We start from the raw sequence: 13,531 nt of genomic DNA on the forward strand, positions 1-13,531 counted from the left end.
CATCTGTCACAGCTTCCCTTGGCTAGGAACGGGAATTCCCTGACCCCTTGCACTTCCCAGGTGAGACGATGCCTCGCCCTGCTTTGGCACACGCTCGGTGGGCTGCAGCCACTGTCCTGCACCCACTGTCCAACAAGCCCCAGTGAGATGAACCTGGTACCTCAGTTGGAAATGCAGAAATCACCCGTCTTCTGCGTCGCTCACGCTGGGAGCTGTAGACCGGAGCTGTTCCTATTCGGCCATCTTGGGAACATCTAGAGACAGTTTTAACATACCTAAAGAACAGTCTTCTACTTAAAAGCTCCCTCTAAAAAAATCCACTAAAAAGACAGGAAAGAAACAAAAAGGCATCCTCTCAAGAGGTCAAATAGACCAAGAAAGGAACCAAATACAAATGTAGACAATATTTTGAAGATAGTGATAAGCCAAAACAATAACAAAAACAGACAAACAAAAATTACAAGTTTAAGTGCCTTACAACAGAGGAAAGCCAGAGAAGCTTTTGCAACATAGAACCTGGAAAGGCTTCAGAGGAGTCCCCTTCCTCCCTTTTCTAAAACAAGGAAAAAAAAAAAGTCTTAAGAAGTAGCAGCAGTACCTCTAAAATTAGGGGTGGCAATGCAGCAGAGAACAGGATTGTGAAAACCTGTATAGAAGCACTTAGACCTCTTCCAGGCAACTATCCCTCTCCAACCCCAGCAGAAAACTGGAGATTTACTCTCAGCAGAGTTTGAAGAGAAGGGATGTTGAACTAAAAAAGCTATAGGTAAGTAAACTAAAGGACCAGCCTAACATGTCTAACATCTAACTAATAAAGAGTCAAAAAGAAGAGAAAAAATAAGTACACAAAATTATCAAAGAATACAGGAAAAATTAGAAGAATTGAAAGAAATGAGTTATCAGATTAGAAAGGTTATTGAGAGCCATAAAAACAGTGAATGAAAATAAACACATACCAATGCATATCACCGTGAAATTTCAAAGCCCTGGGAATAAAGATAAGATCCTAAATCTTCAAGAAAAAAAAAGTCACAAAAAAACAAGAATTAATATAGCATCGTTCTTCTCACCAACAAGACAATGGAGTAAAGCTTTCAAAATACTGAAGTAAAATGATTTACAATCTAGACTTTTAAACCCTACCAAACTACTAATAAAGTTTAAGAGCAGAACATTTGTACACAAGCAAAAGGTCCTAAAAAATGTATATCCCATTAACCATCTTTCTCATGAAATTAGCAGAAGAAATGTTTCACCAAAATGAGAGTAAACCAAGTAAAAGGAAGACTTACAACAAGGAAAAGAGGCCAAGGAATTCCCAGAATGATGGCAGTAAAAGGAATTTCCAGACTGACAGGTGACCTTAAAAAAACACCCAGTCAAGATTTGAGAGTAAAAAAGAATCCAGGAAGAATGGCTCCAAGAAAATAAAGCTGATAGATTATTTGATGGGTAGAAGCATACTGAGAGATGTATACTTCTACTGGAAAGTTTGAAAATATATTTTTCACAGTAATAATTTTAGATTAATAAAAATTAATGTAACTACACTAGAAGGGGATGACGGACATAAAGTATGGGAGGATTTACACCCATTCTCTTACACCCATTCTCCATCTTTAACAGTAGGAAATCAGTATATGATATTTAAAACTGAGAAATGAAGAAACAGCAATATGAGCATATTACTTGGAAATATGAAGATCAAAATCAGAAACAGCTAAAAGAACTGAAAGTGATTAGTTCTGAGGAGTAGGAATGGGGGTGGAGATGAAGGGAGATGCTGATTTTCATTTTAAGCCCCCTTTTTTTTTTAAAGACAGGGTCTTACTCTGTTGCCCAGGTGGTGCAATCAGAGGTCACTGTAGCCCCAAACACCTGGACTCAAATGATCCTCCAGCTTCAGCTTCTCAAGTGGCTGTGACTACAGGCGCATGCCACCACACCTAGCTAATCTTTTTAAATTTTTTGTAGAGACGGGGTCTCCCTATGTCTAGACCAGGAAGTTTATCTAGAACTCCTGGGCTCAAATGATCCTCCTGCCTCGGCCTCCCAAACTGCTGGGATTACAAGTATGAGCCCACTATACCCAGCCAAAGCCTTGTGTTTTAAAAGTGTACTACTTTAATAAAAATAAAAATGTTTTAACAAGAAGGGCTAGACTGAATGCTTCTTGCTGAAGTGGTTATAAAAACTGTAATTATTCAGCCAGGCACGGTGGCTCACGCCTGTAATCCCAGCACTTTGGGAGGCCAAGGCGGGCGGATCACGAGGTCAGGAGATTGAGACCATCCTGGCTAACAGGGTGAAACCCCGTCTCTACTAAAAAATACAAAAAATTAGCCGGGCGTGGTGGTGGGCGCCTGTAGTCCCAGCTACGCGGGAGGCTGAGGCGGGAGAATGTCATGAACCCAGGAGGCGGAGCTTAGAGTGAGCCAAAATCGTGCTGCTGCACTCCAGCCTGGGTGACAGAGTGAGACTCCATCTCAAAAAAAAAAAAAAAAAACTAATTATTCATATAGAAGTCTATTAAATTACAGGCATTCCAAGTAATACTTTTTATTATCAAAAATAATAGGGAGAAAGATGAAGTGATTTAATCAAAACAGGAAACCATCATGCTGATGACTTAATGACTCAGAAGACTGAAAATTTGCTTCCCATCAAAAAGCAATGGGAATCATAGTATTTTCAAATCATATATAAAAAAAAAACTTAATAGATGCCAACAAACTGTCAGCCAAAAATAATCTTTTTTTTAAAAAAGGGCACACCTAACCTTAAAACATCTCAACTCTCAGTATTTTCTGCAGTTTTCAGCCCAAGCCTCTTGCTAGAATAAAATGTCATGTTAATGAAATAAATAGTCACCCAATGATAAAGGTCAGAATAAATTACCTTTGTGAAGAAGTATTGACTGGAAAGGAGATGAAACAACCCACTAGAGTGCTATAAAAATGTTATATATCTTGATCTGCGTGATGGCTACAAAACAGGTGTACACATATGAAAATTTATTGAACTGTACGCTTGAAATTTGTGCATTACACTGTAAGTTACACCTCAATGTAAAAGAAAAAAGTTAACGTGAGAAGCAGCAATCTCACAATGACATTTAGGGAACAAAGTATTATAAACTAAAATAACTACAAATCAAAGTTTGTCTGCCTTTTAGCTTTAAATCTCAGTTTTGCAAACATTCTCACAGGTTGGGGAAAGAGATGTCCATGAGGACTTAAAAAAACCCACAAAGACAAGATTCCAATAAACCGTCAGATAAGCACACTTAACCTTTAATCATAACATATTTTCAATAAGTTTTCTGAATATTTAAACAAAGTGTACTTTATTAGTAGTATGAACCTTAAAAGGAAATCAGCTTCTCAAGATGGAGTTAAACACTCTGGATGACCGTTATAAGGAGAATTGTGAACAACTAAGTATTCAGACTAGGTTACCTCTAAAAGCCCCTTCCCTATTTTGAAATCCTATGACTTTAGAAAACCAGAAAAGTGCAGCCGGGCACGGTGGCTTGCACCTGTAATCCCACCATTTTGGGAGGCCAAGATGGGAGATCACTTGAGATCAGGAGTTCGTGACTAGCTTGGCCAACATGACGAAACCCCGTCTCTACTAAAAATACAAACATTAGCCAGGCGTGGTGGTGTGCGCCTGTAGTCCCAGCTGCTTCTGAGGCTGAGTGAGGGGAATCGCTTGAACCCAGGAGGTGGGAGGTTGCAGTGAGCCGAGATCACGCCTCTAGCCTGGGTGATGGGGGAGACTCCGTCTCCAAAAAAAAAAAAAAAATGCAATTTAACTTACCATCAGATTAAACCTAAGGTTTACCTTTTAAATGGAAAATCACTGACAGAGAAAGTTTCAATAGATTACTACTCATACTATTAATACTTACTCTAGCAAATTCCTTAGGGTATTTATGAAAATAAAATAGAGATAAAGATTGGCCGGGCACAGTGGCTCACACCTGTAATCCCTACACTTTGGGAGGCCAAGGTGGGCAGATCATTTCAGGTCAGGAGTTCAAGGCCAGCCTGGCCAACATGGTAAAAACCCCATCTTTACTAAAAATATAAAAATTAGCTGGGTGTGGTGGCACACACCTTTAATCCCAGTCCCAGCTACTCAGAAGGCTGAGGCATGAGAATCGGTTGAACCTGGGAGATGGAGGTAGCAGTGAGCCAAGATTGTGCCACTGCACTCCAGTCTGGGCAAAAGAGTGAGACTCTGTCTAAAAAAAAAAAGTAGAAAGAGCTTCATTAAAGAGTACTACAACATATTGCTATTAATGATAAAATAATTTTTGAAAAAAAAATTTTTTTTTCAGACACAGTTTCACTCTTGTTGCCCAGGCTGGAGTGCAGTGGTACTATCTCAACTCACTGCAACCTCTGCCTCCCGGTTTCAAGTGATTTCCTACCTCAGCCTCCTGAGCAGATGGAATTACAGGTGCCCACCACCACACCTGGCTAATTTTTTGCATAATTAGTAGAGATAGGTTTTATTTTATTTTTTTTTTTTAGACGGAGTTGTGCCGCTCTTATTGCCCAGGCTGAAGTGCAATGGCGTGATCTCAGCTCACCACAACCTCCACCTCCCGGGTTCAAGCAATTCTCCTGCCTCGGCCTCCCAAGTAGCTGAGATTACAGGCATGTGCCACCACGTCCGGCTAATTTTGTATTTTTAGTAGAGACGAGGTTTCTCCATGTTGGTTGGGTTGGTCTCGAACTCCCGACCTCAAGTGATCCTCCTGCCTCAGCCTCCCAAAGTGCTGGGATTACAGGCATGAGCCACCGTGCCCGGCTGAGACAGGTTTTCATCATGTTGGCCAGGCTGGTCTCAAAAACTCCTGACCTCAGGTGATCCATCCGCCTCAGCCTTCCAAAGTGCTGGGATTACAGGCATGAGCCACAGTGCCGAGCCAATTTTTGAAATTTTTTTTGTATTTTATTCATACTACAGTCAAACACATTCAGAATCTTAAACAGCATCATACAGCAAAACTTAGTAGGTAAGTTTTGATTGAATAAAAATTTCAAAAAAGCATTCTTAAGATGAATTTTTATCCTAATAGTTCCCTATAAGAAGAAACCCACCACCCAAATTTAGCATAATTTGTTCTTTAGTACCATAGGTTTTCATATAACTATACTAGACAATTCTTGACACAGTGCTTACTTACTAACATCATTACCTGACTGATTAAAAAAAGTCTCAAGCTGTATTTTAGCGTAAGACCGTACTTCCCAAATTTTTTAGTAAGAGAATTTTGACCTGACACTAATTTTAAAATGTATCATAAAAGATAATTTAAATATGGTTACTCTGTTTTTTTGGAAACAGGGTCTTGCTCTGTCACTCAAGCTGGAATGCAGTGGTGTGATGACAGCTCACCGCAGTCTTGACCTCCTGGGCTCAAGCAATCCTCCTGCCTCAGCCTCTTGATTAGCTGGGACTCCAGGAGTCCACCACCATGCCAGGATTATTTATTTTTTAATTTTTTGTAGAGATGGAGTCTCACTATGTTGCCTAGCCTGGTCTCGAACTCCTAGGTTCAAGCAATCCTTCCACCTCAGCCTCCCAAAGTGCTGGGATTATAGGTATGAGCCACCACATGCCACGAATTATTCTCATGTTTTTCCTTACAAGTGAAATCTTCCTGGCCACGCATGGTGGCTCACGCCTGTAATCCCAACACTCTGGGAGGCTGAGGCGGGTGGATCATCTGAGGTCAGGAGTTCGAGTCCAGCCTAACCAACATGGAGAAACCCTGTCTCTACTAACAATACAAAATTAGCCAGGTGTGGTGGCAGGCACCTGTAATCCCAGGTATTTGGGAGGCCAAGGCAGGAGAATCACTTGAACCCGGGAGGCTGAGGCAGAAGAATCACTTGAACCCGGGAGGTGGAGGCTGCAGTGAGCCGAGATGGCACCACTGCACTCCAGCCTGGGCAACAAGGGCGTGACTCCATTTCAAAAAAAAAAAAAAGTGAAATCTTCTAAAAGTAACTGCAATTTAAATAAGAATAAATTTTTATTTCAAAATAGTATATAAATTATAAGATATGAAAGGCCACAAGAAGAAGTTGTTTTACAAAATTCCCAGATAATTAAGCAATAATAAATTTGTATTATTGTAGTAACAAAACATATTTTAGCCGGGCGCGGTGGCTCACGCCTGTAATCTATAATCCCAGCACTTTGGGAGATCAAGGTGAGCGGATCACGAGGTCAGAAGTTCGAGACCAGCCTGACTAAGATAGTGAAACCCCATCTCTACTAAAAAATACAAAATTAGCCTGGTGTGTTGGCACATGCCTGTAATCCCAGCTACTCGGGAGGCTGAGGAAGGAGAATTGCTTGACCCTGGGAGGCAGAGGTTGCAGTGAGCCAAGATCAGGCCATTGCACTCCAGCCTGGACACAAGAGCAAAACTCCATCTCAAAAAAAAGAGAAAAAAACATATCTCAAGGTTATTATAATCTCAGCTTGCAGGTCAGTTAGTTTTTTTTTTTCACATTAGGGAATATAATGTTAAAAAATTAACACAATTTCAGCAAAAACTTGTCTAAACTCTTCACCCTTAAGTTTCTGAGCTGTTTGGTCATCCTACTGAATAATGATGGCCTCAGTCAGCCATTAACACTACATACACGTATTAACAAAACTAATATATACCACACATAAGAATGCTGAGAAACATGAGTTTCTTTAATATGCCAAATTTTCTCTTTTTTTTTTTTGAGACAGGGTCTAACTCCTGTGGCCAAGGCTGAGGTGCAGTGGCGCAATCACAGCTCACTGCAGCCTTGACTTTCCGGACTCATGTGATCCTCCCACCTTAGCCTCCTGAGTGGTTGAGACTACAGGTGTGCACCACCATGCCCAGTTAGCTTTTCTGTATTTTTAGTAGACATAGGGTTTCACCATGTTGCCTGGGCTAGTCTCTAACTCCTAGGCTCAAGTGATCCTCCCACCTCAACCTCCTAAAGTGCTGGGATTACAGGCATGAGCCACCGTGCCTGGCCCAAATTTTCAATTAAGTAACAAAAAAAAAGATGACAAGCTCAACACAGAACATTGTACACTCAGCACAAGATAACATTAGCAGGCTAGAGTAATTTATTTTGCATATTGTATATCACAGAGCCTGATAAATATTAATATTTAGTAATTAAATATTGATCTCAACAAATATAAAATAAGTTTTAAAGATAACTTTGAGAACTGTCATTTCCATTTATTCAAATGTGCATTTCATTGTCCTTTTTTTTTTTGAGACCGAGTTTTGCTCTTGTTGCCCAGGCTGTAGTACAATGGCGCGATCTCAGCTCACCACAACCTCCGCCTCCTGGGTTCAAGCAATTCTCCTGCCTCAACCTCCCGAGTAGCTGGGATTACAGGCATGCGCCACCATACCCAGCTAGTGCATTTCATTGTCAAACAAATCCTCTATTGGAAGCAATGTTTCCTACCAAATCTATTTGATATTCCTAAATTCACAAGCCTGTGCTCTAATTTCTAAACCAGTATGAGCCTCACCTTGCTCAAAGCATACAGATCCAGGATTTTTCTCTCTACCACAGGGATCTTCAGAGTAGATCCTTGAAGTTCCCAAAATTTTGCTAGTTGATCCAAGAAATCCAATCTCACTCTGGTCATTGCCTAAGATTATTAAAATACAGAAGAACTAAGTTATGATTGAAATGAATAAGAATAACAGAGCAGGGGTCCCCAAACCCCAGGATGTGGACCAGTACCCATCAGCGGCCTGTTAGGAACCCAGCCACACAGCAGGAGGTGAGCAGCGGCAGTGGGCAACCAACCGGGCAAGCATTACCACAAACCCTATTGTGAACTGCGTGTGAGGGATTTAGGTTGTGAGCACCTTTTGAGAATCTAAGTAATGCTTGATGATCTGAGGTGGAACAGTTTCATCCCAAAACCATCCTCCATACCCCCATCCATCCATGGATAAACTGTCTTCCATGAAACCAGTCCTTGGTGCCAAAAAGGTTTGGGACAGCTGTAATAGAGGTACTCATTTCTCTAAAGAAATTCAAAGACTTTTTTTCATTATTGCTTATTTCAACCCTGTAAAACTAGCCAATAGTAAAACTAGCCAATAATAAAGAGGCAAAAGACTTCTAATAAACTATATTTATTCAGGCAAAAAAGTTACTCTGATTTATGTAAAAAGTTGTCATATTAGCAACCAAAACAATTTTTGTAAGTTGGTTTAACTCTATGCTGATCAGAAAATTCAGTAGATCGGATTCTCTTCAGTCTCTAACGTTCTGTCATTTCATCCATATGTAACATGCACACTTTAGGTGCATCAACTCTATACCTCACTGATACTAATATGCTTTGTCAAGTATCTAATTACAAGAGACTAAAAAGAAAAAATATGCATTGCGGCCAGGCGCGGTAGCTCACGCCTGTAATCCCAGCACTTTGGGAGGCCAAGGCGGGCAGATCACCTGAGGTCAGGAGTTCCAGACCAGCCTGGCCAACACGGCAAAACTCCGTCTCTACTAAAAATACAAAAATTAGCTGGGCATGGTCGCTGTAATCCCAGCCACTAGGGAGGCTAAGGCAGGAGAATCGCTTGAACCCGGGAGGTAGAGGTTGCAGTGAGCCGAGATCGCACCACTGCACTCCAGCCTGGGTGACAGAGCAAGACTCTCTGGAAAAAAAAAAAAAAAAAAAGTATGTATTAAACTCTCAGAAATGTTTTGGGGAGAAAAGAAAAAAAACTTCAGAATGACATAATAAACCTTTGCTATCAATAATTTTCCTTCTGTACTCTAAAAGTTTTCATATCACAATGAAGAACCTTCTGAAAACCCATAAACAGAAAAAACAGCAAAACGTACACTTCCATTTAGAAAATTTAAGATAAATTAGTAATACTTAAAGTAATTAAAAAATAATACTTAAAGTAATTAAAAAGTAATACTTAAAATCTTAATAAATCAGATTAACACTCCTGGCAAAGTTCCATTAAAACCAAAACCAAAACCAAACCAAAACAAAACAAACTCTGAAAACTAGGGTTTTAAAATAGGATTTAAAAATCCATTTTCCAAGAACCGAGGGAGAAAGAAATCTTCCAAGATTAACAAAAATTTTAGTAGAGTAAGAAACACTAGAGAAAGTAGAATTTAAGAATTCTAAGTCTCTGAAGCTAAGCATTGAACATTTCTCAGTTAAATGGAAAAACCATAACAACTTTGCACAGTTTTTAAAAAATCATACTCTTCCTCCAAACATCAAGTAACTATTCCATTCAATACCAATTAACACAAACTCTAGGCTGTGGTACATGAGCTTCTCAAAGTTCTCTACCTACAGCCCTAATATAAAGAATGAATCAGGAAGCAGAAATAGTGACAAAACACTTACCTCAAGTTCATTCAGGCGCTGGACTCTTGGAGTGAAACGAAAGCTTTTTACTTCACAGGCAAATGGAGGCTGCCAGTCCTAAATAGAAAGATTTTTTTAAAAAAACACAGTGGTATGTAAACAAGGAATGCATTAATTATTCCCTTAAAGGGGGGTTTTGCCACAAATCATGGTGCTAATAGACTAACTTACAAGTCTTCTTTATTATAGAGACAGAATGAGCAATTCTTTTCGATAAAATAATTTTAATACAGGTTGAGTATCCCTCATCTGAAATGCTTGGAACCAGAAGTGTTTTGGATTTCAGATTTTTCCATATTTTGGAATATCTGCATATACATAATGAGATATCTTGGAGAAAGAACCAAGCCTAAATACAAAATTCTTTTGTTTCATATAAAGTTATACATAGGCTAAGGTAATTTTATGCAATATTTTTAATAATCTGGTGCATAACGCTTGTGTATACTGGACCGTCAGAAAAGAAAGGTGTCAGTAGCTCAGCCACCAGTGTGGACAATTTGTGGTTGTCTGGCATCACCATCATTCCTGACTGTGAATTTACATGCTACCAATAAACAATCATTTCCTTACACTTATTTCCACTTAAGTAGTTAACAGAAAAAATATACCATACCATTAATACAATGAAAAAAATAATCTGTTCAAGCTGGGTGCAGTAGCTCATACCTGTAATCCCAGCACATTGGGAGACTGAGGCAGGAGGATCGCTTGAGCCCAGGAGCTTAAGACCAGCCCAGGCAACAGAGCGAGACCCTATCTCTATAAAAGAAAAAGAAAAAGAATAATTCAGATTTTGGATGATTTCGGATTTGGAATTTTTAAAGTAGGGATGGATGCTCAACCTGTATTGCTCAGAGAAGCAATCCTCTTCAAACCAGTCCCACCGTTTACCTCCCACAATTATGCTTTCCCAAGTTACTCAAGTGGAATTCAATGAGGTCATGTACCACAAAACAGTATCTAGTAAACATTCAGGTTTACCAAGATCAAAAAAAAAAAACTTGTGTTTAAACTAAAAAGGGTAAAATTTAAGATTAAAAAGAAACTTTTAAGAACTTATTTATTTAAACGATTTTTTTTATGTTATGTGTAATGTGACAGAGCACTTTATGTTACACAAATGTTTTGTTCAAAGCCCAGCTTCTGGGAACCCAAATATTCAAAAAACACGCAGAACAAGGACAATTTCCAGACTGTGATATAACTAAAATTAGATAGCATATTTCAAGTGGGGTCTAAATAACATAGTTTGATTTGGCCTAAATAACAGAATAACAGTAAACCTATTTTAAAACGTTGAGTAGTCAAAAAAAAAAAAAAGTCTTACCTTGGAAACTGAAGAAATCTGCCAAAACTAAAATTAAATTCTGATTGTAAACAAGATTTATTTTCAATAATGTGACATAAAGAGAAAGCATTATTTCAGCATTTTTTTAAGTAAAAAAACTTTTTTTAATCAAAGTAACCGTGAATAGAATTTCTAATTAATAAATTCAAGAGTAGATAAAAATATGACTTAGGAAAACCTTCAATGCTTAAGATTTGTTAATATTAGGTAATTATGATAGAAAAAAGGGTTAAATGGAAGTTTTTGGAGGATGGCAATGCGTATCATCATAGCAATTATTTGTTAATCCTCTGCTTGAAATGAGTAGTCTATAACCTTAAACAAAGTCATTCAACATAGTGAGAGCATTACGTCTGTTTCAGAATCAGAAAAACTGATCTAGGTTCAAAATACACTTTGCCACTTGCCCAAGATCACACATTTGGTGTTTTAACTTATCCAGATTAGCCTCATCTGTAAAAGGCGGACTTTATTTACCTGTCAGGGCTTCAAAGATTAAAGCAAACAATCTATAGGTGTTAAATTAGTTCCTCCTCGCTGTCATTTAAGTTTTTAATACGCTGCGGTGCCTATCTCTGTGGTAGTCAGTGGTGACGGCAGATGCTTTTTAAAAAGCAACACTGGTTAACAGTGCTTAATATTTTATCATTACTAATACTAGACAAAACATAAAGCAAAATGCCTTTAACAAGCAACGACTAAAGCAATGGTTCGAAAACCTCAACTTACATGAGAATCATCTGAGACTAGTTGCTAGAAAAGCAGATTCCAGAACTTCCACAACAAGACTAGAGATCTGCATTTAAACAAGCATCCAGTTGACCCTGGTGCAAGTGGTCCAGCAACATCATTTAAAAAGCACTGGTCTAATGAGTAAAGAAAAACACCTTTGACCTTGAGTAATCACTCAACCTCTTGGGGCATTAATCCCCTCCACACAAGGGATAGTATCTGTTTTCCTTACCTCAAAGGTGAGATTATAATTAACCTTATAGGCAAACCTAGTTATCTGCAATAACTGTGATTCTAAAATCGTTGATCTTGAGTTCCCTACGTCAAGAGATTTCAACATTTCCTTCCACCTCCACTATAAACCAATTTTTCCTAAACCTCTAAATTTTAGAATTATTGCTGCTCCTTCTCTTTCCCCGCTAAGACTTTTTCACTGCGGCAATAATTAGTCTGGAGTTCTTGTCTAGTAATACCATCCGGTGAGACTAGAGCTCAGATAACCTTTTCAGAAACCCTAGCCCTGAGATGAGGCCTGCAAATATTTGATCCAACCAGGTCTTGAATAAAGAGATAGCCGACTATCAAACCATAATGAGGATACGTGAGGGAAGAATACGTCACGTCATAATACTGTACTTTAAACACCATATCGGCTAACGAAAGGCTTTAGGCCCACGGCTGAGAGAAAAGTATCAGTTCCCAAGTTCTAGGCGGAAGAGGCCCAAGAGACACCACTTTCTCGCTTTCAGACGTGTCTACATAAGACCACAAAAGAAACCGAGGCAAAAACATCCAGAAACAGGCTCCAGTTGTCTCAAAAGAGAGTACATATGAAACGAGACAAGGATCAGAAAAGTAAAGCTAAACCCAGTGTACGGACTCCCCCATTCTTCCTTCTCCCCCTCTCTCTTCACAGACTGAGGTACCTTGGGCGGCCGAATTTTGCAGATGCCGGTTTTCTCCGCCAAAGGCCGGATGCGGCCGATAAAGCTGAGCGGATCTGTGAACTCCTCCCAACTCGGCTCAAAGACGGGGCACTCTGGCGGTGGCACGAACTCCGCCGCGTAGCCCCCCGGCCCCACGCCCGCCATTGCAACGGCCGGGGGGGGGGGGGGGTCCCCGTGGGGAACCGGTGGAGAAAAGCTGGCTGAAGCCCACTAAGCCCGTTCAAGTCCCCTGACAGAGGCCGAAGCGCATCTTCGCGGACAAGAACCGTTCAACACAGAAACCCCAGAATCGCTTCCTCCTCCCGTTTGTTATTGTTTCTTGCAAGGCTTTTCCACTGAGGTTCAGGACTTTTCCGGAAGTTACCGTGCTGTCAAATCCCTCCGCCCCCTGCAGGAAACGGAATCCTTCCGCAGCTGCACGACGCCTGTGTGTCTGGCCTTTCCTTCTTCTTCTCTTCCCCGGCAGCACAGTGTGGCTGTTTGTCTCCTTGCCCGCCAAAGTTCTGCCCAGTCCAACGACTCCACGCAGCTCGCCCTTGGTAAGGGGTCGGGGAGGGGCACAAGCTCTTCTTTACTAGAGGTACGGATTGAGGGAAGCCGACGGGGCGAGGCGGGGCGAGGCGCAACGAGGCGGGGCGAGGCGCGACGCGACGTGACGCTTTCTTCCGGCGCGGAGGAATGTGTAATGCCCCAGAGGGCAGAGGTTGTGCTTCCGGTGAGGAGGGTCCCTTTCCCTTTTGTGTATCAGTGCACTCGAAAACACGCCGGGCTTAATCTTAAGCACCGCGCCTCACCGCCCGTGCTTCGTAATTTGTTTTAACCTACCCTGCTGCGTTTATAGCAAGTAGCCTTTCCAGCATTTCTCTTTTTTTAGCCCTTTGAATGCAGATATTTTACAGTAATCTCACTCTGCCACTTTATACCCGCCTCTTCTCCATCAAAACAAGTGCAGGTCTAACCCATCCCCTAAATCCTGCCAGCTGGCTTTAGCCACCATCCATGAATTGCTTTTCCTTTTACACAGGACGCAGCAGCTCTCCTGAATTACCAGCCA

General features: G+C 40.5%; 2 protein-coding genes across 3 annotated transcripts in view, besides 1 other annotated feature; one reads left to right on the forward strand and one right to left on the reverse strand.

Annotated features, from left to right (window-relative positions):
• The window catches only part of KDM5A (lysine demethylase 5A), a 109,264-nt gene extending 96,414 nt beyond the window's left edge, over window positions 1-12,850 (reverse strand). Inside the window, exons 1-3 of the mRNA NM_001042603.3 lie at window positions 12,457-12,850; window positions 9,427-9,504; window positions 7,561-7,683 (exon numbers count right to left, since the gene is read on the reverse strand). Coding sequence (NP_001036068.1) covers window positions 7,561-7,683; window positions 9,427-9,504; window positions 12,457-12,621 — 366 coding nt within the window. The 5' untranslated portion in view covers window positions 12,622-12,850. The remainder of the gene's footprint in view (window positions 1-7,560; window positions 7,684-9,426; window positions 9,505-12,456) is intronic.
• The window catches only part of CCDC77 (coiled-coil domain containing 77), a 53,296-nt gene continuing 52,641 nt past the window's right edge, over window positions 12,877-13,531 (forward strand). For both annotated transcript variants that reach the window (NM_001130147.2, NM_001130148.2), the window contains exon 1: window positions 12,877-13,016. The gene's annotated coding sequence lies outside the window, so the exon portion shown is untranslated. The remainder of the gene's footprint in view (window positions 13,017-13,531) is intronic.
• Window positions 13,013-13,307: an enhancer, noted in NCBI's record as "tiled region #4015; HepG2 Activating DNase unmatched - State 1:Tss, and K562 Activating DNase matched - State 1:Tss". NCBI's record gives its function as "activates a minimal TATA promoter and a strong SV40 promoter by Sharpr-MPRA in HepG2 and K562 cells {active_cell/tissue: HepG2 | K562}" and the evidence as "EXISTENCE:reporter gene assay evidence [ECO:0000049][PMID:27701403]".

Source organism: Homo sapiens, chromosome 12 (genome assembly GCF_000001405.40).
Source record: "Homo sapiens chromosome 12, GRCh38.p14 Primary Assembly".
In the NCBI taxonomy this organism is placed as follows: domain Eukaryota; kingdom Metazoa; phylum Chordata; class Mammalia; order Primates; family Hominidae; genus Homo; species Homo sapiens.